This window comes from Homo sapiens, chromosome 11 (assembly GCF_000001405.40).
Source record: "Homo sapiens chromosome 11, GRCh38.p14 Primary Assembly".
NCBI lineage: Eukaryota > Metazoa > Chordata > Mammalia > Primates > Hominidae > Homo > Homo sapiens.
The window spans coordinates 87092858-87116573 of record NC_000011.10 but is presented as its reverse complement, the minus strand read 5'-3'; the positions used below and the strand labels follow the sequence as shown (position 1 = coordinate 87116573).

Here is a 23716-nt window from a genome sequence, read left to right as displayed (position 1 = left end):
TTATACCAATCCTATTAAGACAGCTAATTTAAATGCATCTAAAATAAATGTCATAATTTAATTATAATTTTCCAATATCTGGAATCAATTAAGTTTCTGAAAAGTTTCAAGTGGGCCACCCAGTAATAAACACAAAATAAATTGTGTCTGCTGTCCTGTTAGTGATAATTTTTTATTGCTACCTCAGTTTCAGATGTCAGAGTAATGACTTCCATATTCTGATTGAAATGCAAATTGAAGCCATATGTTGGAAAGCACAGGCTTTCAATATCATCGCTTTCTTATTTTAGGCACAGTAAAACTATGTTTATAAAGGCTAACAATTATTCAGATAAATTGTCAATTCCAGATCTAGAAAATGTGGAATTTTACATTTTAAACTATGACAATATATGTACTTATGGCACATAATAAATAGGTATTCTCATGTTTACACATCTCATTGGCCAAACTGGAATGGAAACTATAAAACAGTAACAGAATGAATGTTAACTGATTTTCTTCAAGAGTTACAAATGAAAAGTAATTCTATAAATCTATTTTTTAATCCTAAGATTTGGTAATGTAACTAAAATTTACCATTAATCTATATTCTTAAAAATAGATTAATATTTTTAATTTATTTCACTGATAGGTTAAATAAACTAAATAGCATATAAATCAATTTAATGTTTAATAAATATCTAAGACTATGCTACAAGTTTCCCTAGGATCTTCTTGGATTGAGATTCAAACATGATCAGCCCAATAATGAATTTAAGTATCACAGGATTTACTGTTTTTCTCTTTGTGACATTAAACCCAAAATGCTATGTGTATAAAACTGACTTTTCATTTAAAAAGAAAAATGTTGATGTTATAAGTAAATTCTCATACAAATACTCTCTAAAAAGGTGAATCATGAATATTTTAATCAAGAGTAAATACTTCTAAATTTAGCTGTCTAAAATCAACTAGATGTAAAAACTAATAGAAAAGTCTATGCCAATTAAACCATTAAATTGCACAATTTATATACCTCAAAGGCTGTAAATTAAATGTAAATATAGTTCAGTTGCAGAAGTCAAAGGCAAAGTAATTACAAAAGTATTTACTTAAAGAGGGACTGGCATTAGGTGGGGTAGGGGGAAATCATAGCTCTGATGCCAAATAAAATCACTTTATTTTACTTTTTTAAAATGTTCTACTTGAAATGTAAGGATAGAGATATTTTAAGATTAAATTTGCTACAGTCATTTCCAATGCAGAGACAAAATGCTTATAAACTAAAATGACCTAGAATTTTGGTTTAATTATTAAAGAGATGTTAATAATATGCTATAGGACTTGAGCATTATGACATAGTTTTTTAACAAAATAATGGATAGCAGAGAGATGTTTCTTAAGGTTTGGCCTACACAAATTTCTTAAATAAAATTAAACAAATTTCTTTGATATAATTTTAAATCTACACTATACATTATACTATTAAATGCTTAATCAGCCCCCATCTTTGACTAGAGCTTCTCTTACATAGCTCAACATTCAACATTCCTCCAAAAGTCTTTGTATATATTGCTTTCATTTAGGTTTAAAGATGATCAATAATGGTAACTATGCATGAATATAATGGAATATGGTCAGCCATCTATTCTAGGCTTCTGTTTTCCTAGCTATTTGCAAGACTAACTTGTCTGTCAAAGCCCTTTGTTATAAAAAGAAGCATGCTATTACAAGTACTGCATCCTCGGTTGACTAGTGTGTACAATTATTTCCAAGTCCTGTACAGCTATGCCCCTCAGTTCTCAGGCAGTGCCAATACTGTGTTCTTTTGCCCACCTTGTTTACAATGGTTTGGTAACACACACAAAAGCAGCTTAACTGTTATAATGTAGTCCATTTTTCCAACATATGCAGCTCAAAAGTTAAAAATGAATACATGTTTAAAATACTAAATATATAAAGCTCAGAATCAATAAATGTGATGGGATTCATATAATTGAACATCAGTGTAATGACAGGAACTAAAACTGTACTGCTCTACAAGTATGTTCCAAATGTCAAGGTCAATTCTCCATCGGTTGTTCAAAATCATATTCTACTGTTTCATATTTGGACTATCACCTTCCTATACAGCTTGTTGTTTTTTACGGAGCTTGTAATTGTTTTTCTTTTCTCATTGTTGGAAAAAACACAATTTTAGTACATCACTGAGTTTTTCACTTCTTTAGTCAGATGTTTCCAAATGATATCTACATTTTTTTTGAAACCTCTGAGTTCCTATTTAAACTTGGATGAATGCCTTGCAAGATGTGCTGAATAGCTGTTATCTTGAAATTTCTTTGTGTTGCATTCTTGAGTTGGTTTCACTGTTTCTAGGATCTGTTATTTTTCTCTTGCTTGGGTTCCTTTTTATTTTGCTGGAGTACATTCTCAATTTTCCTTCAAGAGAGACTAGATGAGAGGTAAACTCTCAGTCCTCAAATGGCTGAAAATGTCTATATTTTGCCTTCACTTGATTCTGATTCACAGTTTGGTTGGACATAGAATTCTAGATCCAAATCATTTTCCTTCAGAATTGTGAAGGTGCTTCACAGACATGATCATAATCATAGTGACAACAACAATGACAATAGCAATAATAAAAGCAAACACTGATTGAGATCTTCCTATGCACTAGTACGTCTTTTATATGTATTATTTTTCACAACATACACAATATATAGGGATCATATTGTGATGATCCCTATATCTCACAGCTGAGAAAATGGAGGCATAACAGTAAAATTGTTTCACCAAGATCATTATACAACCAGTAAGAGACAGTGTCTGGAAAATCTTTCTTAGTGACCAAAGTCCTGAAATAGTACTGAAAAGATCTCAGCTTTCCCAGACTAGTAAATCAGGGGCCTAGGAGTCAAATGGACACTAATTAGTGTGAAAACTGATACCAAAATTTAGGTCTGTTATAGAATCAGTTTTCTTTCCACTCTTCCATGCTTTCTCTTTTTGTCTCTTCATGTTTACCAGGTTGCTGCCACATTTACAAGAACAGAAAGCCAACTTAATATTAACCAACACAATAAACTAAATCTTGTTACAAGTGTTTGGTTTTATAAAAGAGTTAAATCTTTAAAATATCTTTATTAAATTATTAAACTCATCAATCATCTAACAATGAAAATAATTGTAGAGTTAAAATAATACAAGCCAGAGCTGAAAGATTCAGGCCTACATTGTCAAGGTGCATTTTAGAGAAAAGGTTTTTCTTTCCTTTTCAATTTTTCTTCCTTTCTCTATTTTTCTTTAAATACTTCCTCACAAACACAAGATCAAGTACCAAGAAAAGTAATTCTTGCCTGACTCCTGCAGCTTTTTAGTAAAAATGGAAATTACAATGTGAACTATCTTTCATCAAATGGCATTTATAAGTTGGGCCATGACTTTTCATCTTCTATTTGCTAATCACTATTGGAGATACAAAGGGCATGCCTTAGAGACATATTCTAAATAAGATACTTTTTCCTATACATTTAAGCCATTTATAATCTCTTAAATTTCTTCATTGTACAGCTCACTTTATTGAACCAATTACCAATTTTCTGCACGCCAAAGTGCAAAAAATTCCAGAATCTATGCATTATAGGATACATCTAGGCATAATTCCTCAATTAATCATTTCTGATAAGCAGTACAATTCAGTGTTAAACTTATGTTATTTTCATGAAAATCTGCTGAGAGGTACTACTAAATGATGTAATTCATTATTGGAAGAAAAAAAAACCCTTATCATATGCCATTCAGCCATATAATTTAACAAATGATAAGAACCTGTATCATGCTAGGCATCAGCCCTACACGATTTTCTTCCAAAAAATTTAACATATAATGTATTGTTTTAAAACTAAAGTACTTAAACTCTTAAATTTGTAAATGTGTTTTTACCACTTACATTTACATTTTAGTATTATAATAATTTTACATACAAGATTGTAAAGATGATATTTAACCTTGCAATTAAACTGTATCTCACAAGAAGAATGAGTTCAATAAATATCATGCAAGGAAAGACACCGTTCTTCGCTTCTGTTTTTGAAAATTACTAAATATTATAATAAACCATAGCCATGGATATCACAATAAAAGAAACACATACAAATGATAAAAACTCTGTGAAATACGGTTGATGACCAGAGAGCTACAGAACACAGTAAAACAGTGAGCGATTTTTTAGGGCTTAAGTAGTTAACTGAATGAATGTAAATTAAATAAGTTATTTTTCCTTTGGTTTTAAAAGTACAATACACTTGAATAATTTAATTCCTAAAAGTACAAGTAATGCTTACCTTCTAGACCAAAGTCACATAAAATGATTTAACACAGACGTGTACTGAGTCAATATCCATGCTGAGGCTGCCTAAGGCTGTCATAGTAGTGCTAAATTTTTATAAGCATTGCTATTATATCCAGCCCTTTAGATTCAACATTAATTAAAAAACCATAAATAAAACAATCATGCTCTATATTGCAACTATTGCCACATATAAGGTTTGTTTCCTGGTATCACTATTTAAAAAGCCTCAAGTTCTAGAAGGTCATCAATCAATAACATTTAGATAGGCTACAATAGCAGAGTAAAAGCACTAAACCCAGGATCAAATCCTGAGTTTTCAATATTAATTTATATATTATTACTCTGAGTTTAGAGAAGTCATATATCCTTTTATATTCAGTTTTGCTCATCTATAAATGGGACAATAAAACCAGTCATGCCTATTTAACAGGGTGCTTTTGACAGGTTAAATGGAAAAATGTATGGGAGCATGTTTCAAAGCAATAAACAAACACAAGCTATATTTCTATGTGGGTATAATTCACTGAATACAAAGCATTCAGGTTATTAATGCAGGAAATTTCTTTTTCTTTTTTTTTTTTTTTTTTTTTGAGACGGAGTCTTGCTCAGTCGCCCAGGCTGGAGTGCAGTGGTGCGATCTCAGCTCACTGCAAGCTCCACCTCCCGGGTTCACGCCATTCTCCTGCCTCAGCCTCCCGAGTAGCTGGGACTACAGGCGCCCACCACCACGCCTGGCTAATTTTTTTTTTGTATTTTTAGTAGAGACAGGGTTTCATCATGTTAGCCAAGATGGTCTCAATCTCCTGACCTCGTGATCCACCCGCCTCAGCCTCCCAAAGTGCTGGGATTACAGGCGTGAGCCACAGCGCCAGGCTAGGAAATTTCAAAGATAGACATAGAAGACAAAATCTCAGACATGGAAGAGCTTATTTCAGAGAACAATAAATAAAAATACAGAAAACCCATATATTAAATAACTAAAAGATGTGAAACAAAAAAATCCCTTTAAATTCACGACCAAAAAAATAGGCCATCAACAAAAACTCCTAGGATTAATTAAGGAAAGTAGAGATGGGAGAAAAATAACTAAGCATTTCTTCGTCCTTCTTTGCTAAGGAGTCCTAAGCTTCTACATATACTCTATAGCTATGTTTAGGAAACTACATTTTAAGACTTCAACAATGACTTATTTTGTCTACAGTTAGCGAAAGAATGCAGAACTAGAAAATGAAACATCTAGGTTGAAGTACATAAGGCATCTATGGCAGGGCTAAGTCCCAGAACTTACTTTCATGTCAGCTCCAGGCAAGTATTCTGGGAAACTAATCACATATTATGAATATGACTGCGCAATGCTAGTAACCTAAATATTACTTCCTCCTTTATATAATGCCTGTAATTTTTAAAAGTATGCAATTTTTTATTGACCCTGAATTATTCATTTATTCATCACACACACACACACACATACACACACACACATTCCTTTAAAAAGCAGTCAAAAATAGAGTTCTATGTTTCTTTATCAAAGAATGTTACGAAAAAAACATTTCTTTAAATTACTCATCTCTTACCTAGTGGAATAATCCATTATTACTGTGTAGAAATGCTAGGTTTAATAGCTTCTTTTCCCTCTTGGGTCATATTGACTTAGTCTTTGTAATAATCACCAAAAAATGATCTATGAATTATTCCATTTGACAGATGAGAAAATTTAGATTTGCAGTTATAGTCACAAAGCTATTAAATGGTAAACCAGGATTCAATTTTTTTTTTTTTTAAATTCAAAGACAGGTTCTCACTCTGTGCCCAGGCTGGAGTGCAAGCATGGCTCACTATAACCTCAAACTCTCGGGCTCAAGCAATTGTCCTGCTTCAGCCTCCCAAGTAGCTAGGTCTACAGATGCAAGCCGCCATGCCCGGCCTTCCAGGATTCAAATTTAAATCCATCTAACTCTAGAGCTAGTGTTCTTAACCACTTTACTGTGTTTTTTGGTAATTTGAGTTGGAAAACTATCTATATCCTTTTGCATAAGTGGTATACAGACCAAAAATAATACCACGGAGAACTGCCCTCTCCTTGAGGAATTTCGACACTGCCACAACCAGCTATACCTCTACAGTGGGTACACTGCCACTCAGGTCATAAATGATTGCTTTAGGGATGGACATTTCAACCAAGTTCTCTCAACCAAAAATCTGGAGTAACATAAAAAAGCCAGGCAGTAGAGAAGGAAGAACCCAGAGGAAGTCATTCTGTTATCCATTCCATTAAGAGGAAGATAACTTGTTTGCCAGTCAATAACATTTACTCATATATGGCTTACTTCTCTATCTAATTAACACATAAAGAAAAATTTAAAATCCACCAATACACTGACATACAGTACAATAACAGTGGCAAAAAAAAAAGAGTTGGTGCTTTTAAATTATTTCAAAGTATGTTAGCAAAAGCTGATTTACTTTAACATACTGCAGGAACACGTAAAACTCCAGGATGATTGAAGGGTTTTTGATGCTGCAAACATAATTTAAGTTTATTAAGATAAAACTGACATATAATAGTCCCCCTTTATCCATGGTTTTGTTTTCCATGGTTTTAGTTACCAGCAATAAATTGTGATCCAAAAATACTTAATAGAAGATTCCACAAATAAACAGCTCATAAGTTTTAACTGCTATGTCACAATGCCTACATCATCAACCTCACTTCATCTCCTCATGCTGGCAATTTAGTATCTCACAACACTACAAGAAGAGGAAGGTGAGCACAGTACACCAAGGAATTCTCAGAGACACAGAGATACCACATTCACATAACTTTTATTACAGTGTATTATTATAATTGTTCTATTTTATTGTAGCTATTGTTGTTAATCTTTTACTGTGCCAAATTTATAAATTAAACTTCATTAGGATATGCATATATAGGAAAAATATCATGCATATATAGGAAAAACATCATGTGTCTAGGTTTCAGGCATCTACTGGAGGTCTTTGAACACGTATTTAGCGGCAGATAAAGGGGGACAACTTTACAATAAACACCAAAAATTTAAAGAGCATATTTTGAAAAGTTTTTCCATATGTACACACTCTAAAATGATCATCACGACAAAAATAGTTAACACATCTATCACCTCCAAAGTTTCCTTGTGTTCCTTTGTACTCTCTCTCACCCAATCCCTTCACTCCCTACTCTCCCACCACATACCTGCTTTCTATTACTATAGATTACATTATCCTTTTTTTCTTAGCTTCTTTCACTCATAATGATTTTGACATTCTTCCATATTGTTCAGTATGTCAAAGCTCTTTCCCTTTTATACATGAGACGTATACCACTGTTTGGACATAGCACAATATGCTTATCGAATCACCTATTAATGAACTTTTGATTACTTCTAGTTTTTGGCAAACAACCAAAGGCTCTAAGAATATTTGTATACAAGTCTTTACACAGAAATCAGAATTCATATGCCTTAGACAAACAAAAATGGAAGCACAACAAACCAAAATTTATGGGATGCAGCAAAAGTAGTTCTAAAGGGGAAATTTATAGCACTAAACGCCTAGGTCAAAAAAGAAACGAAGATTTCAAATAACAAATCTAATGTTACACCTTAAGGAACTAGAAAAAGACAAACTAAGCCCAAAGTAAACAAATGAAGGAGATAACAAAGATCAAAGCAGAAATAAATAGAGACTAGAAAAACACTATAAAAAAATCAACAAAACTGAGAGTTTTTTTAAATAAAATTGACAAACCCTTAGCTAGTCTAAGAGAGAAGAAAAATAAAATGAAAAATGAAAGAGACATTGGATTAAAGACTTAAATGTTAGACCTAAAACTATAAAAACCCTAGAAGAAAACCTAGGCAATACCATTCAGGACATAGGCATGGGCAAGGACTTCATGTCTAAAACACCAAAAGCAATGGCAACAAAAGCCAAAATTAATAAATGGGATCTAATTAAACTAAAGAGCTTCTGCATGGCAAAAGAAACTATCATCATAGTGAACAGGCAACCTACAGAATGGGAGAAAATTTTTGCAATCTACCCATCTGACAAAGGGCTAACATCCAAAATCTACAAAGAACTTAAACAAATTTACAAGAAAAAATCAAACAACCCCATCAACAAGTGGGCAAAGGATATGAACAGACACTTCTCAAAAGAAGACATTTTTGCAGCCAAAAGACACATGAAAAAATGTTCATCATTACTGGCCATCAGAGAAATGCAAATCAGAACCACAATGAGATACCATCTCACACCAGTTAGAATGGCCATCATTCAAAACTCAGGAAACAACAGGTGCTGGAGAGGATGTGGAGAAATAGGAACACTTTTACACTGTTGGTGGGACTGTAAACTAGTTCAACCATTGTGGAAGATAGTGTGGTGATTCCTCAAGGATCTAGAACTAGAAATACCATTTGACCCAGCAATCCCATATGGGTATATACTCAAAGGATTATAAATCATGCTACTATAAAGACACATGCACACGTATGTTTATTGTGGCACTATTCACAATAGCAAAGACTTGGAACCAACCCAAATGTCCATTAATGATAGCCTGGATTAAGAAAATGTGGCACATACACGCCATGGAATACTATGCAGCCATAAAAAAGATGAGTTCATGTCCTTTGTAGGGACATGGATGAAGCTGGAAACCATCCCTCTGAGCAAGCTATCACAAGGACAGAAAACTAAACACTGCATGTTCTCACTCATAGGTGAGAATTGAACAATGAGAACACTTGGACACAGGGTGGAGAACATCACACACCAGGGCTTGTCGTGGGGTGGGGGGAGGGGGGATGGATAGCATTAGGAGAAACACCTAATGTAAATGACGAGTTAATGGGTGCAGCACACCAACATGGCACATGTATACATATGTAACAAACCTGCACATTGTGCACATGTACCCTAGAACTTAAAGTATAATAAAAAAAACTATGAATAATTATATGCCAACAAATTATATAACCTAAAAGAAATGGATAAATTATTAGACACATACAACCTACCAAGACTGAATCATGAAGAAATAAAAAATATCTAAATAGACCAATGATATAGTCTGTATATTTGTCCCCAATGAAATGTCATGTTGAATTGCAATCCTCAATGCTACAAGTGGGGCCCAGTGGGAAGTGTTTGTATCATGGGGTTGGATCCCTCATGGCTTGGTGCTGTCTTCGTGATAGCGAGTTCTCGTGAAATCCAGTTATTTAAAAGTGTGTGGCACCCTCAATCCCTACCCTTGCTCTTGCTTTCACCACGTGACATGCTGGCTCCCACTTCACACCTTCTGCCATGACTGTAAGCTTCCTGAGGACTCCCCAGAAGCTGATGCCAGGACTATGCTTCCTGTACAGCCTGCAGAACCGTGAGCCTGCAGAACCATTAGCCAATTAAACCTCATAAATTATCCAGCCTCTGATACTGATATCTCTTTATAGCAATGCAATAATGGCCTTATACAACCAATAATGAGTAAGCAGATAGAATAAATAACAAAAAGTTTCCCATCAAAGAAAATCCAAGGACCTGGTGAATTCTAATAAACACTTACAGAAAAACTAATACCAATCTTTCTCAAACTCTTCCAAAAAATTGAAATAGAAGGAATATGCCCAAACTCATTTTACAAAGCCAGTATTACCCTGATACCAAAGCCAAACAAGGACACTTCAAGAAAAGAAAATTACAGGCCAATATCCCTGATGAACATAGATGCCAAAATCCTTAACAAAATACTAGCAAACTAAATCCAATTAATACATTAAAAGAATATTTCACTTGAAATACTGTCAGTTAGCCGGGTGCAGTGGCTCATGCTTGTAATCCCAACACTTTGAGAGGCTAAGGCGGATGGGTCAGCTGAGGTCAGGAGTTCGAGACCAGCCTGGCCAACATGGTGAAACCCCATCTCTACTAAAAATACAAAAAGTAGTCAGGCGTTGTGGCAGGCACCTCTATTCCCAGCTACTCAGGAGGCTGAGGCAGGAGAATCACTTGAACCCAGGAGGTGGAGGTTGCAGTGAGCCGAGATCACCCCACTGCACTCCAGCCTGAGCAACAGAGAGAGACTCTGTCTCAAAAAAAAAAAAGAAAGAAATACTGTCAGTTGCAGCAACACAGATGGAACTGGAGATCATTATATTAAGTGAAAAAAGCCAGGCACAAAAGATAAACATCACATATTCTCACTCATATGTGAGAGCTAAAAAAGTTGATCTCCTGGAGACAGACAGCAGAATGATAAATACCAGAAGCTGTGTAGGGGAAAGGGAGATGAAGAGAGGTTAGTGAATGAGTACAAACATAAAGTGAGATACAGGAAATAAGTTCTAGTGTTCTATAGCACAGTAGGGTGAGTGACTATAGTTGACAACAGTATATTTCAAAATAGCTAAAAGAAAAGATTTAAAATGTTCCCAACACTACAGAAATCTGTAAATAAAAAAGGAAAAATGTTCTCAACACAAAGAAATGATAAATGTTCAAAGTGATGGATATCCTACATTACATAGTCTATGCATGTATCAAAATATTACATGTAGCATATAAATATGTACAAGTAATATATATCCATTTAAGTGTTTTTACTTGTTTTTTAAAAATCTTTCACCATGATCAAGTGGCATTTAACCCTGGGAGGCGAGGATGGTTCAACATGAAATCAATAAATGTGATAGGCCAGCGGTCCCCAACTTTTTTGGAACCAGAAAACGGATTCGTGAAAGACAATTTTCCATGGATGCAGGGCGGGGTGGGTCCGTGGGAGTTGGTTTCAGGATGAAACTGTTCCACCTCAGATCATCATAAGAAGCATGCAACCTAGATCCCTCACATGTGCAGTTCGCAATTGGGTTCGGGATCCTATGAGAATCTAATGCCGCTGCTGATCTGACAAGAGGCAGAGCTCAAGCAATAATGCTCGCTCACCCGCGTATCATCTCCTGTTTTGCAGGCTGATTCCTGACAAGGTTCATGGCCCAGGGTTTGGGGACCCCTGTGATATGCCACATTAGCAGGACGAAGGATGAAAACCTTATGATCATCTCAAGAGATGCAGACAAAATTCAACATCCTTTCACAATAAAACTCTCAACAAATTAGGTATAGAGGAATGTACCTCAACACAATAAAGGCCATATATGACAAGCCCACGGCTAACATCATACTCAACAGTGAAAAGTTGAAAGCAGTCTCTAAGATGAGGAAAAAGTCAAGGATGCCCACTCTCACCATCTCTTTTCAACATAATACTTGAAGCCCTAACCAGAGCAATTAGGCAAGAGAAACAAATAAAAGTAATCCTAGTAGGAAAGAAAGAAGTAAAACAATCTCTGTTTGTAGACTGTATGATCTTATACACTAAAAACCCTAAAGATTCCACCAAAAGACTGTTGGAACTGATAAATAAATTCCGTACGGTTGCAGGACACAGTGTCAACATACAAAAATCAGTAATATTTTTATACACTAATACTCAACTATTCAAAAATAAATTAAGAAAAAAATCCCATTTACAACAGCAACAACAAAAAATAAAATCCTTAGGGGTATATTTAACCAAGATGGTAAAAGATCCACATACTAAAAACACTATAAAACACTGATAAACAAAACTGCAGAAAAACACCCATGTTCATGAATTGGAAAAATCAACATTGTTAAAATGTTCATACTGCCCAAAGCAATCTATAGATTCAATGCAATCCTTACTGAAATTCCAATGTAATTTTTCACAGAAATAGAAAAAGCAATCTTTAAGTTCAAATGGAACCACAAAAGACCCCAAACAGCCAAAGAATCCTGAGCAAAATGAACAAAGCTAGAAGCCATCACATTCCCTGATTTTAAAATATATTTTAAATCTATTTTAATCAAAACAGCATTGTACTGTCATAAAAAAAGACAGACAGACCAACGGAACAGAATAAATAACCCAGAAATAAATAAACCCACAGTTATGGTCAATTGATTTTTGACAAAGGTGCTAACAACACAAAACAGGAAAAGAACAAGTCTCCTCAATAAACGGCGTTAGGAAAACTGGATATCTACTTGCAAAAGAATGAAACTGGGCTCTTATCTATATGTTATATAAAAATTAATTCAAAATGGATTAAAGACAATAAATATAAGCTCTTCCATAAAATGACTAAAAGAAAATATAGGGCAAAAGCTTCATGGCACTGGTCTAGGCAATTTTTTTGGGGGTATGAACCCAAAAGCACAGGCAATAAAAGCAAAAATAGACAAATGGGATTATATCAAACTAAAAAGCTTCTGTACAGCAAAGGAAACAATTAACAGGGTAAAGAGACAACCTACAGATTGGAAGCCTGGGCAACATGGTGAAACCCCATCTCTACAAAAAGTACAAAAACTAGCCGGGCATAGTGACATGCGCTGTAGTCCCAGCTACTCAAGAAGTTATGGGAGGACTGCTTGACCCTGGGAGGTGAAGGTTGCAGTGAGCCAAGGTTGCGCCACTGCACTCCAGCCTGAGTGACAGAGCGAGATCCTGTCTCAAAAAAAAAGGAGACAACCCACAGATTCCAAAGATTAGGAGAAAATATTTGCAAATTATACATCTGATAAAGGGTTAATATCCAAAATATGTAAGGGATTTAACACAATTACAAGGAAACAACTCAATTAAAAAAATGGGCAAAGGACCTGAACAGACATTTCTCAAAAACAAAAAAACAAACAAAAAAAAAAAACAAAAAAAACATGGCTAACACACACATTTAAAAATGCTCAACATCACTAAAAATTAGGGAAATGCAAATTAAAATCACAATGAGATATTGCCTAACACCTGTTAGAGTGGCTACTATCAAAGTCAAAAGATAACAAAGTGTTGGCAAGTACCTGGAGGAAAAGGAATCCTTGTACACTATTGGTGAGAATGTAAAATGATACAGTCATTATGAAAAACAGTATGGAAGCTCCTTAAAAAACTAAAAATACCATATGATTTTTCTCTAACAAGTGATCCAGCAACCCCACTTCTGAGTATGTATCCAAAGAAAGTGAAATCGGTATGTCAAAGGGATGTCTTCATTCCCATGTTCACTCCAGCACTATTCACAATAACCAAGACATGGAATCAACCTAATGAACCTGGAAGACATTATGCTAAGTTAAAATAAGCCAGGCACAGAAAAAAATACCACATGATCTCACTTATATGTGGAATCTTATGAAAGTCCAACTCATAGAAGTACAGAGTAGAATGGCAGTTAACAGAGCCCAAGGGAAGAGGGGGTTGTGATGATAAGTTTCAGTGAGACAAGAGAAATAAATTTTTGAGATATATTGCACAGCAGGGTGACCATAGTTAATAAGGACATAATGTACATTTCAAAATATATTATAGCTAAGAGTAAATTTCAAATGTCTGACAACTGAGGTGATGTTAATTTGATTTAATCATTTCATGCTGTATATATACATATATACATATATATATACATATATATATATACATATATATACATATATATATACACACACATATATATATCAAAACATCACATTGCACCCCATAGATGTATACAATTATGACTTGTCAATTAAAAATAACTTAAAAAGAAATAAAAATTTATTTCTCTAAAGTAAATGTCTATGAGTAGATTGGTTGGCTCATACGGAAAAGTATATGTTTATCCTTTTAATAAACTGTCAAATTGGCTTCCAAAGTGGTTAAACAATTTTACATTCCCACATGCAGGAATATGATAGTTCCAGTTCCTATATATTCATACCAACATTTGCTCTTGTCAGACTTTTCCCATATCTTGCCATATGCATCTCGTCCATCTGGCTGTTCATCCATAACCTTTCTAATATCCTCTATAATAAACCAGTAAATGTAAGCAAAGTGTTTCCCTTAGTTCTGAGCTGCTCTGGTAAATTAGCTGAACTTGAAGAGGGGGTAGTGGGAACTCCAATTTATAGCTGATCAGTTGGAAGTACAGATAACAACTATTACTTTCTATTGGCATCTGAGGTGGAGGCAGTCTTATGAAACTGAGCCCTCAACCAGTGGAATCTGATGCTATCTCCAGGTAGACAGTATTAGAATTAAATTGAATTAGAGGACACTAAGCTGGTGTCTGCCAGAGAATGTGCTTCCAGAGAACTGCTTGGTCTGTGGGGATCATTCTCTGTTGAGTGAAAGAACAAGAGAAAGTACTTTTTTCTTCTTCTTTTGTTTTTTTTCCCCGAGACGGAGTTTTGCTCTTGTTGCCCAGGCTGAAGTGCAATGGCGTGATCTCAGCTTAATGCAACCTCCGCCTCCCAGGTTCAAGCTATTCTCCTGCCTCAGTCTCCCGAGTAGCTGGGATTACAGGCATGCGCCATCACACCCGGTTAATTTTGTTTTTTTAGTAGAGACGGGTTTATCCATGTTGGTCAGGCTGGTCTCGAACTCCCAACCTCTGGTGATCTGCCCGCCTCGGCCTCCCAAAGTGCTGGGATTATAGGCGTGAGCCACTGTGCCTAGGCTGAATCACCATTTTCAAACCTATGTTTGAAAAATCAAATACAGATGTTTTAATAAAAGACACTGCATGTTTAACATTAAAAACCAAATGCTAAAGACAAATTGCTAACATACATTACATGTATGTTTACAATTAAAACGTAGATACTGTTAAAATGTTTGGTGGCATAAATAAAATTACAGAGAAGTTTTCAAAAGGACTCAAACAGAAGGATTTTTAAATGTCTTAAATTTTTTTCTTATAATAAAATGTAAGTGAACTAACTACATTTGACATCACATTTTAAACATGTTAGCAGCATATAATAAATTTTGAAAGATTGGAAAACTTAGTTATTGTCACAACTGATATAATAAAGGAAAATCATGCAAGTGCAAATTTTGCTTATGTGTTCTCTTTTAAATCATACTGTGGCAAAGTTAAATTCTAACAGCAAGTGTTCTCTTATGGGTAACTGGTTCTGGCATACTAGCCCCAGGAAAATTTTTTCATAATTTTAGAGACATATCTTGGCCAGAGAAAATATTTAACTCTTTATACTTCTTTCTATATACATTTCATTCATTTTGACCTTTAATAACTAATTCACTATCAACATTTAAAATCTAGAAAACTACTATTTTTTAAATTGGGTACTTTTCACTCTAATACACACTAACTAACATGTAACAAGAAAGCAACATTTTCAGATGGGTATTAATACAATTGCCTTCAATTTGTATGTTTTTAAGTGCTAGTTAATCGTTAAGGCTATAAACTAATGGTCTAATAATTGCAACTTATCAAAACTTACTTGTATCTGATGGCTCTTTTTCTTAAAGCTCTTTTTTTTTTGAGACAGTATTGCTCTGTTGCAAAGGCTGGAGTGCACTGACGCAATCTTGGCTTACTGCAACCTCCACCTCCTGGGTTCAAGCGATTCTCCTGCCTCAGCCTCCCTAGTAGGTAGGATTACAGGCGCATGCCACCACGCCTGGCTAATTTTTGTATTTTTAGTAGATACGGAGTTTCACCATGTTGGCCAGGCTGGTCTCGAACTCCTGACCTTAGGTGATCCACTTGCCTTGGCCTCCAAAATACAGATGACTTTTACTTTCCTCTTTATTTTCCAAATCAGAAACACATACCAAAAAACAGTAAATATTTTGTTTAAATAAAACCTCACAACATTTAGAAATTTTATTGTTGGATGTTATAAGCCAACAATTTCAACTTAGTCTCATAAGCAATATAATCAAGTCATAAGAAAAGTTTACTTCTTTAGATTGAATTCAGTTCTCCCTGAATCTTTAAATCCCTACCTGTTCTGAAACAAGCACCCTCTTCATGTAGTAAAAGTTATACAGTAATAAATAAATGGCTCTGTTTAGATAAAAAGGAAGATGAAGTGTATCAGGTAATTATTAGTATCCAGAAAATATTATGATCATGTTCAAATTCACTTTCCCTCAGACATAGTCAAAATCTATGTATCAAGTCTTTGATCTCATTAAAGTTTTGAATTACTGAGCATTTATAAATGGCTAAAAACACCAATTCACATTTTGCATTTTCCCAGAAATTTTTCTAATACTAAAATTTACAGACAAATGTACCCCCTCAAAAAAGTTTTCCATTTTAAAGAACTAGAGATTCAAAGGTTTCTTCTACGTTGGGAACCCTAACAAAACGATACAGCCACCACTCAGGAACACATTTGACAGTTTCTTTAAAAACTAAACTTGGTGGCTCACACCTGTAATCCCAGCACTTTGGGAGGCCGAGGAGGGCAGATAACAAGGTCAGGAGTTCGAGACCAGCTTGACCAACAAGGTGAAACCCCGTCTCTACTAAAAATACAAAAATTAGCCAGGCATGGTGGTGCACACCTGTAATCCCAGCTACTCAGGAAGCTGAGGCAGGAGAATCGCTTGAACCTGGGAGGCGGAGGTTGCAGTGAGCCAAGATCACGCCACTGCACTCCAACCTGGATGACAGTAAAACTCTGCCTCAAAAAAAAAAAAAAAAAAAACCACCATGAAACATGTAACCACAATATAAACCCAGCAACTGCACTAATGGGCATTTATCCCAGACCAATAAAAACATGAAAATCTGTACATGAATATTTATAGCAGCTTTGTTCATAACAGCTAAAAACCATGAACAGGGGTTAAGGAGGGGTGACAACAGGAGAGAAGTGGGTGTTGCTATGATGGAAATATTCTGTATCCTGACTGTATCAATTAAATATTCTGGTTTTGATATTATATTATATTATAGTTTTGCGATATGCTACCATTGGGGGAAAATGGGTAAAGAGAACATGGGATCCCTATATTATTTTTTATAATTGCATATGAATCTATAATTATTTCAAAATAAAAGTTTTAATTTTTTTTTAAATACAGTATTTTAAGTGTGCTCTCCAACATCAATAATATCAAAGTCAAAGATCTCTTTCCCAGGAATTCACAATCTAAAGCAGACAACACACAAAAGTTTTAGTAAGTTTACTTATAATTTTCAAATAAGTGTATGAATACGCACAGTATTTGGGTATTGAAGTACACAGCGTGTGCTACTATAGAAAAGCATGTGAGTGTCTAAAAAAATACACTAAAACTCAAATGTATGCTAGCGTGCAGGCATAATACTTTAAAGTTTTCTTGAAAACATAAGAAAAGCAGCACAACAACAAAGCCATTAAGAAAATTTAAGATATTTGGCTGGGCACGGTGGCTCACACCTGTAATCCAAGCACTTTGGGAGGCCGAGGCGGGCGGATCACGAGGTCAGGAGATCGAGACCATCCTGGCTGACATGGTGAAACCCCATCTCTACTTAAAATACAAAAAATTAGCCGGGCGTGGTGGTGGGTGCCTGTAGTCCCAGCTACTTGGGAGGCTGAGGCAGGAGAATGGCATGAACCCAGGAGGCGGAGCTTGCAGTGAGCCGACATGGCACCACTGCACTGCAGCCTGGGCGACAGAGCAAGATTCCATCTCAAAAAAATATATATATATATAAGATACTTTGTTATACAATATAAATAATCTATAACCAAGATTAATCAATTGTTTTAGATTCTTTTCAGGTTGTAGTATTTATTATCACTTAATAATTTAAGTTTATCATTTTAAAGTAGATGATTTCTTCAAGTTATTTATTTTTCTGGATTCTGATTACAACACCATGAGCTGGCAAAACAGGAGTGTTCACACGCAGTTCAAAATAAGTCATGTACTTCATCTATGTACCACAATCACCAACTTTTAATCTTTGTATCTTTTAATCTAAAATACAACATTAATGCAGTCAAATAAAGCAAGGTTTTACTTGTAAATAATATTACAGCAAAACCACCATTACTTTTGCACCAACCTAAAATATTTAAAACAAGCTTTAAAATAAACATCTAGGTTTAATCTGGTATGTCTCCTATAAATCCTTCTCTTTAACCCATTTATGCCTAGTGTTCCATTATTGGAACGCTAAGCTTACAGGAGTTATTATTTTCCTACTGCTCAAGGTCATCGCCAAGGTCTGATTTTTCACAAAAAAAAAAAAAATTTGCAACCTCCAGCATAGATGGGTTAATAAACACATTCATCTATGATTCATTTAACAAATTATGGCACAAAGTACATTTTAGGTACTGTTCTAGGCTTAATACAGCAATGTATAAAACACACAAAAACTCTACATTCATGAAGCTTAAATTCCAAGGTGGGAAGACAGACAATAAAATAATAAGCAAAAAAGATACATGTTAGATGTTGATCAACTCCATGAAAAAAAGATACAGAGGTTTGGGACTGCAGGGGTATAAGTTACATGAAGGGTGACTGTTACTATGTGAGATAGATGTGGAAGGCCTCACAACAGTGACATTTCAGCAGTCTCAGTGAAATGAAACAGCAAGCCATGCAGATATCTAGCGATAAGAGCTCAAAACAGAGCGAACAGCAAGTATCAAAGTCCTGAAGAGAAAGCATGCTTGTCATGCTCACTCAACACCAGAGAGGGCAGTGTGGCTGAAGTGGAGAATGAGGAAGCAGACAGTGGTGGTAAAAGGAAGCCAGAGAAACATAAAGACCCCCCCATAACCACAGGCTTCTTGCAAACCTCGAAAAGAGCCCTACAAAATCTGTTCACATAGTCACTTTGGTAACATTGGCAAAAGTAAGGTATTTTAACCATAGATAGTTAAGATTACTATCATTTTACATTCTGATTTCTCTGTCACACTTCACCTTGTGATGAACAGCACTAGGTTTTGGAATCCAGCTTGCTAGTAGAGTTGAGTTTAGCAAGATATATTGAGTTTGGGTTTAGCATGATATATTCATTAATTTACTTTCCAGTTGCTTTTAGGTATAGAACATTGATTCCTAGTGGCTCATTAAAAGAGTGGCAACCAGGCACGGTGGCTCACGCCTGTAATCCCAGCACTTTGGGAGGCCGAGGCGGGCAGATCACTTGAGGTCAGGAGTTCCAGACCAGCCTGACCAACATGGTGAAACCCCGTCTGTACTGGAAATACAAAAATTAGCCAGGCATGGCAGTGTGCGCCTGTAATCCCAACTACTCTGGGGACTGAGGCAGGAGAATCGTTTGAACCCAGGAGGCAGAGGTTGCAGTGAGCCAAGATCATGCCGCCGCACTCCAGCCTGGGTGACAGAGCCAGACCCTGTCTTGAAAAAAAAAAAAAGAGTGGCTTCCAGGAATACTCTACTGTCTACTGTGCCAACTTACCCCGTCAATGACACAAAGGTGAAGAACCAGAGGCCATAATGATATATAGATACATCCTAGGGTGCCAAGCCCTGAAAATATGTGGGTAATGAAAAAGAAATAAATTTAAAATGCACATGGCTAAAAGACAGATGGTTAAAACTTCTACCAATCATCAGACATGCAATGTAGTAAGCAGAAGATCTGACTCTTATCAAAGCCTAGCCAAAATCCAACTTATCTCCTGTCAAGGAAATGAAGTGAATACAATTATAATTATTATAAATGCAACATAACTTTGTAGGGTTTTTTCCCAATGGAAACTGTACTACAGAAAATTTTTTAGAATGCCTATGTTTGAGAATCACTACCTGTATCAGTATTCAAAAAAGGTGACTGTGTATTAAGTAACATGGTTTTAACTATTCCAAATATGAATAATTATTAAAGCATATGTGATCAATAATGCAAGAAGAAAGACTGAAATATCTTTTTTATTTTCTCTGTATAAAATGATATTATAGGCTGCTGGGGAGGGCAGGAAAGCCGCACCCACCCAGCAAGGGCTCCGTGACTGGGTTCCCAGGACTGTCGAAGGAAGGTATAACTGGGTGGGAGGGTGGGTAGCTTATGCTCTCCAAGACTGCCTTTCCAAACTCTTTGACACCTAAGAAAAGGTGAACAAGTTCTATTTTCAAGAGAAGATGGCTTTTAACAGTTTTGAAGGATCTAAAGCTGTGTATCTGCAGACATCAATAAGGACGAAGAATTTGTAGAAGAGTTTAACGGATAAAAAACTTTTGCTAGTTTTCCAAGTAGTAGTCCTGTTTCAGCATCAACACTGGCACAAGTAGGTTTTCTTTATATTGGTGAAGGAGACACCATGTGGTGCTTTAGTGGTCATGCAGGAGTAGAGAGAAGGCAATATGGAGACTCAACAGTTGGCAGACACAAGAAAGTATCCCAAATTGCAGATTACCAACGGCTTTTTTTTTTTTTTTTGAGATGGAGTCTCACTCTGTTGCCCAGGCTGGAGTGCAGTGGCGCGATCTCGGCTCACTGCCAGCTCCACCTCCCGGGTTCACGCCATTCTCCTGCCTCAGCCTCCTGAGTGGCTGGGACTACAGGCACCCACCACCATGCCCAGCTAACTTTTTGTATTTTTAGTAGAGACGGAGTTTTACTGTGTTAGCCAGGATGGTCTCGATCTCCTGACCTCGTGATCTGCCCACCTCAGCCTTCCAAAGTGCTGGGATTACAGGTGTGAGCCACCGCTCCCGGCCGGCATTTACTTTTAAAATAGTGACACAAAACCTGCAAATCCTAGTATCCAAAATGGTCAGTACAAAGTTGAAAACTGGGAAACAGTAATCAATTTGCCTTAGGCAGGCCATCTGAGATTCATGCAGATTATCTTTTGATAACCGGACAGGCTTAAATGTATCAGATACCATATACCCAAGAAACCCAGAAACCCATCATGTATAGTGAGGAAGCTCAACTATAGTCATTCCAGAACTGGCCAAACTATGCCCACTTAACCCCAAGAGAGAGAGTTAGTGCTGAACTCTAATACACAAGTATTGATGACCAAGTGCAGTGCTTTTATTGTGGTAGAAAACTGAAAAATTGGGAACCTTATAGTGCTGGCTGGTGGCAGAAGAACATAGGCAACACTTTCTTAATTGCTTCTTTGTTTTCGGCCAGAATGTTAATATTTGAAGTGAATCTGACATTGTTGAGTTCTGATAGGAATTTCCCCAATTCAACAAATCCTCTGAAGAAATCCATCCATGGAGCATTATGAAGCACAGATCATTACTTTGGGGATGTGGATGTACTCAGTTAACAAGCAGCAGCATGCAGGAGCTGAATTTTATGCTTTAGGTAAAGGTGATAAAGTAAAATGCTTTTGCTGTGGAAGAAGGCTAACTGATGGAAACCCATTGAACACCCCCGGGAACAACATGCTAAGTGGTATCCAAGGTGTAAATATCTATTACAGGAGAAGAACAAGAATATATAAGTAATATCCATTTAACCCATTCACTTGAGGAGTCACTGGTGAGAAGTGCTGAAAAAAATGTCATCACTAACTATAAGAATGGATTATACCATCTTTCAAAATCCTATGTTACAAGAAGCTACACAAATGGGATTCAGTTTAAAGAATATTGAGAAAATAATGGAAGAAAAAATTCAAACATCTGGGAGCAACTATAAGTCACCTGAGGTTCTGGTTGCAGATTCATTGAGTGCTCAGAAAGACACAAGATGAATCAAGTCAGACTTCACTGCAAAAAGATACGGGGTCTCATTATGTTACCCAGGTTGGTCTTGGGCTACTGCCCTCAAGCAATCCTCCCACCTCAGCCTCTCAAGTAGCTGGAACTACAGGCCCATACCACCACACCTAGCCTATACTGTAATTTCTAATGAGACAGAGGAAAGACTAGGCGGAGGGAATTGAAAGAAGTAGTATTGAAAAAAGGGGAGAAGAAGTAATGAGGAGCTCCAGATCCAGAGTCTGCCAGTAATAGCACAGAACTCATTCCAAGACCTCTAAATTACTGAAAAATTATAACAAAATGAGAAATATATCAAACACAGAATTGGTCCTAGGCTGTAAGAAGAAAATGAGAGACAAATAATAAGAACCTGTAGCGTGACGGCTTCAGAAAAGTATTATATAGGAACTGAAAAGGAAGTCTAGCCATATGTAATTTGGTTTTTGGGGAATAAAGTTTACATTGACATTCAAACATTCCAAGCAGTCTCCAAACAAAGCTGGTGACACCAAAGCAATCAAAGTTTCACGACCAATTAAAAACCCAGAGTCTATTATTTTAGAAATAAATGAAAGATCACGATGGAAATTCCTTGTATAAAATCAGTATTGTCTCAGTAATTTTTTAAAAGAAAATTATAATATAAAATCATATGAAGAAATGAATGGAGTTTATAACCAATATATGAAGGAAAAAAGTACTGTGGAGGTATGTTAGATGAATATTTACGTAACATTTAATTAACATAAAATCTGGATTTTATGTTAAGTCTGGTGTTTATCATCTTTTTAAAATTAAAATATCATCACTCAAACTGAATTTTTACTGGACAGGTTCAGCATTAAAAACAAGTAAATTGGCCGGGTGTGGTGGCTAATGCCTGTAATAACAGCACTTTGGGAGGCTGAGGCAGGCAGATCACGAGGTCAGGAGTTCACGACCAGACTGACCAACATGGTGAAACCCCGTCTCTACTAAAAATACAGAAAAAATTAGCCAGGCGTGATGGTGCACACCTGTAATCCCAGCTACTCAGGAGGCTAAGGCAGGAGAATCACTTGAACCCAGGAGGCAGTGGTTGCAGTGAGCCAATATCACACCACTGCATTCCAGCCCGGGTGACAGAGCGAGACTCCATCTCAAAAAATAATAATAATAAATAAAAACAACAAGTAAATTGGCTGGGCAAAGTGGCTCTTGCCTATAATCACAGCACTTTGGGAGGCCAAGGCAAAAGGATCACTCGAGCCCAAGAGTCTGAGACCAGCGTAGGCAACATCCCATCTCTACAAAAATAAAAGTAAAAAAAAATAGCCGGACATTGTGGTACATGCCTGTGGTCCCAGCTACTTGGGAGGGTGAGGTAGGAGGATTGCTTGCGCCCAGGAGTTCAAGCTGTAGTGAGCCGTGATCACACCACTGTACTCCAGCCTGGGCAATACAATGAGACCAAAAACATAAAATAAATAAAATAAATGGAAACAGGTAAATAGATGAGTTAACTTGAAGACAAATCTGAAAAGATAACCAGAATTCAGCACAAAGAGATGAAAAAGTAGGAAAATGTTAAAGAGTGATTAAGAAAATATGAAGAGGGACATAACAATGTTTAACATGTATCTCAAAGGAGTTCCAAAACAATAGAATATAGAGAATGGGGAGAAGCAAGATTCAAAGAGGGGATGGATAAGAATTTAATTCCAGAACTAACCATGAATTCTCGGACTACAAAAGCTGAGTTCTGATCAAGCTAAATAAAAATAAATCTATATCCTAGTAAACCCAATATGCCAAAAATAAATTCTTCAAAAGTAAATCTTAAAAAAAAATTT

The 23716-nt window shown here is 36.0% G+C and overlaps 1 protein-coding gene and 1 pseudogene across 5 annotated transcripts in view; one reads left to right on the top strand and one right to left on the bottom strand.

Annotated features, from left to right (window-relative positions):
- TMEM135 (transmembrane protein 135) overlaps nt 1-23716 on the bottom strand; it is a 290891-nt gene that overhangs the window by 212251 nt on the left and 54924 nt on the right. The window contains exon 1 of one of the 5 annotated variants that reach the window (XM_017018142.2): nt 19618-19638. The exons of the other annotated variants lie outside the window; for them this stretch is intronic. The gene's annotated coding sequence lies outside the window, so the exon portion shown is untranslated. Of the gene's footprint in view, nt 1-19617; nt 19639-23716 lie in introns of those variants that run through there. 5 annotated transcript variants of the gene reach the window in all.
- Nucleotides 20168-21901, top strand: XIAPP2 (X-linked inhibitor of apoptosis pseudogene 2; annotated as a pseudogene).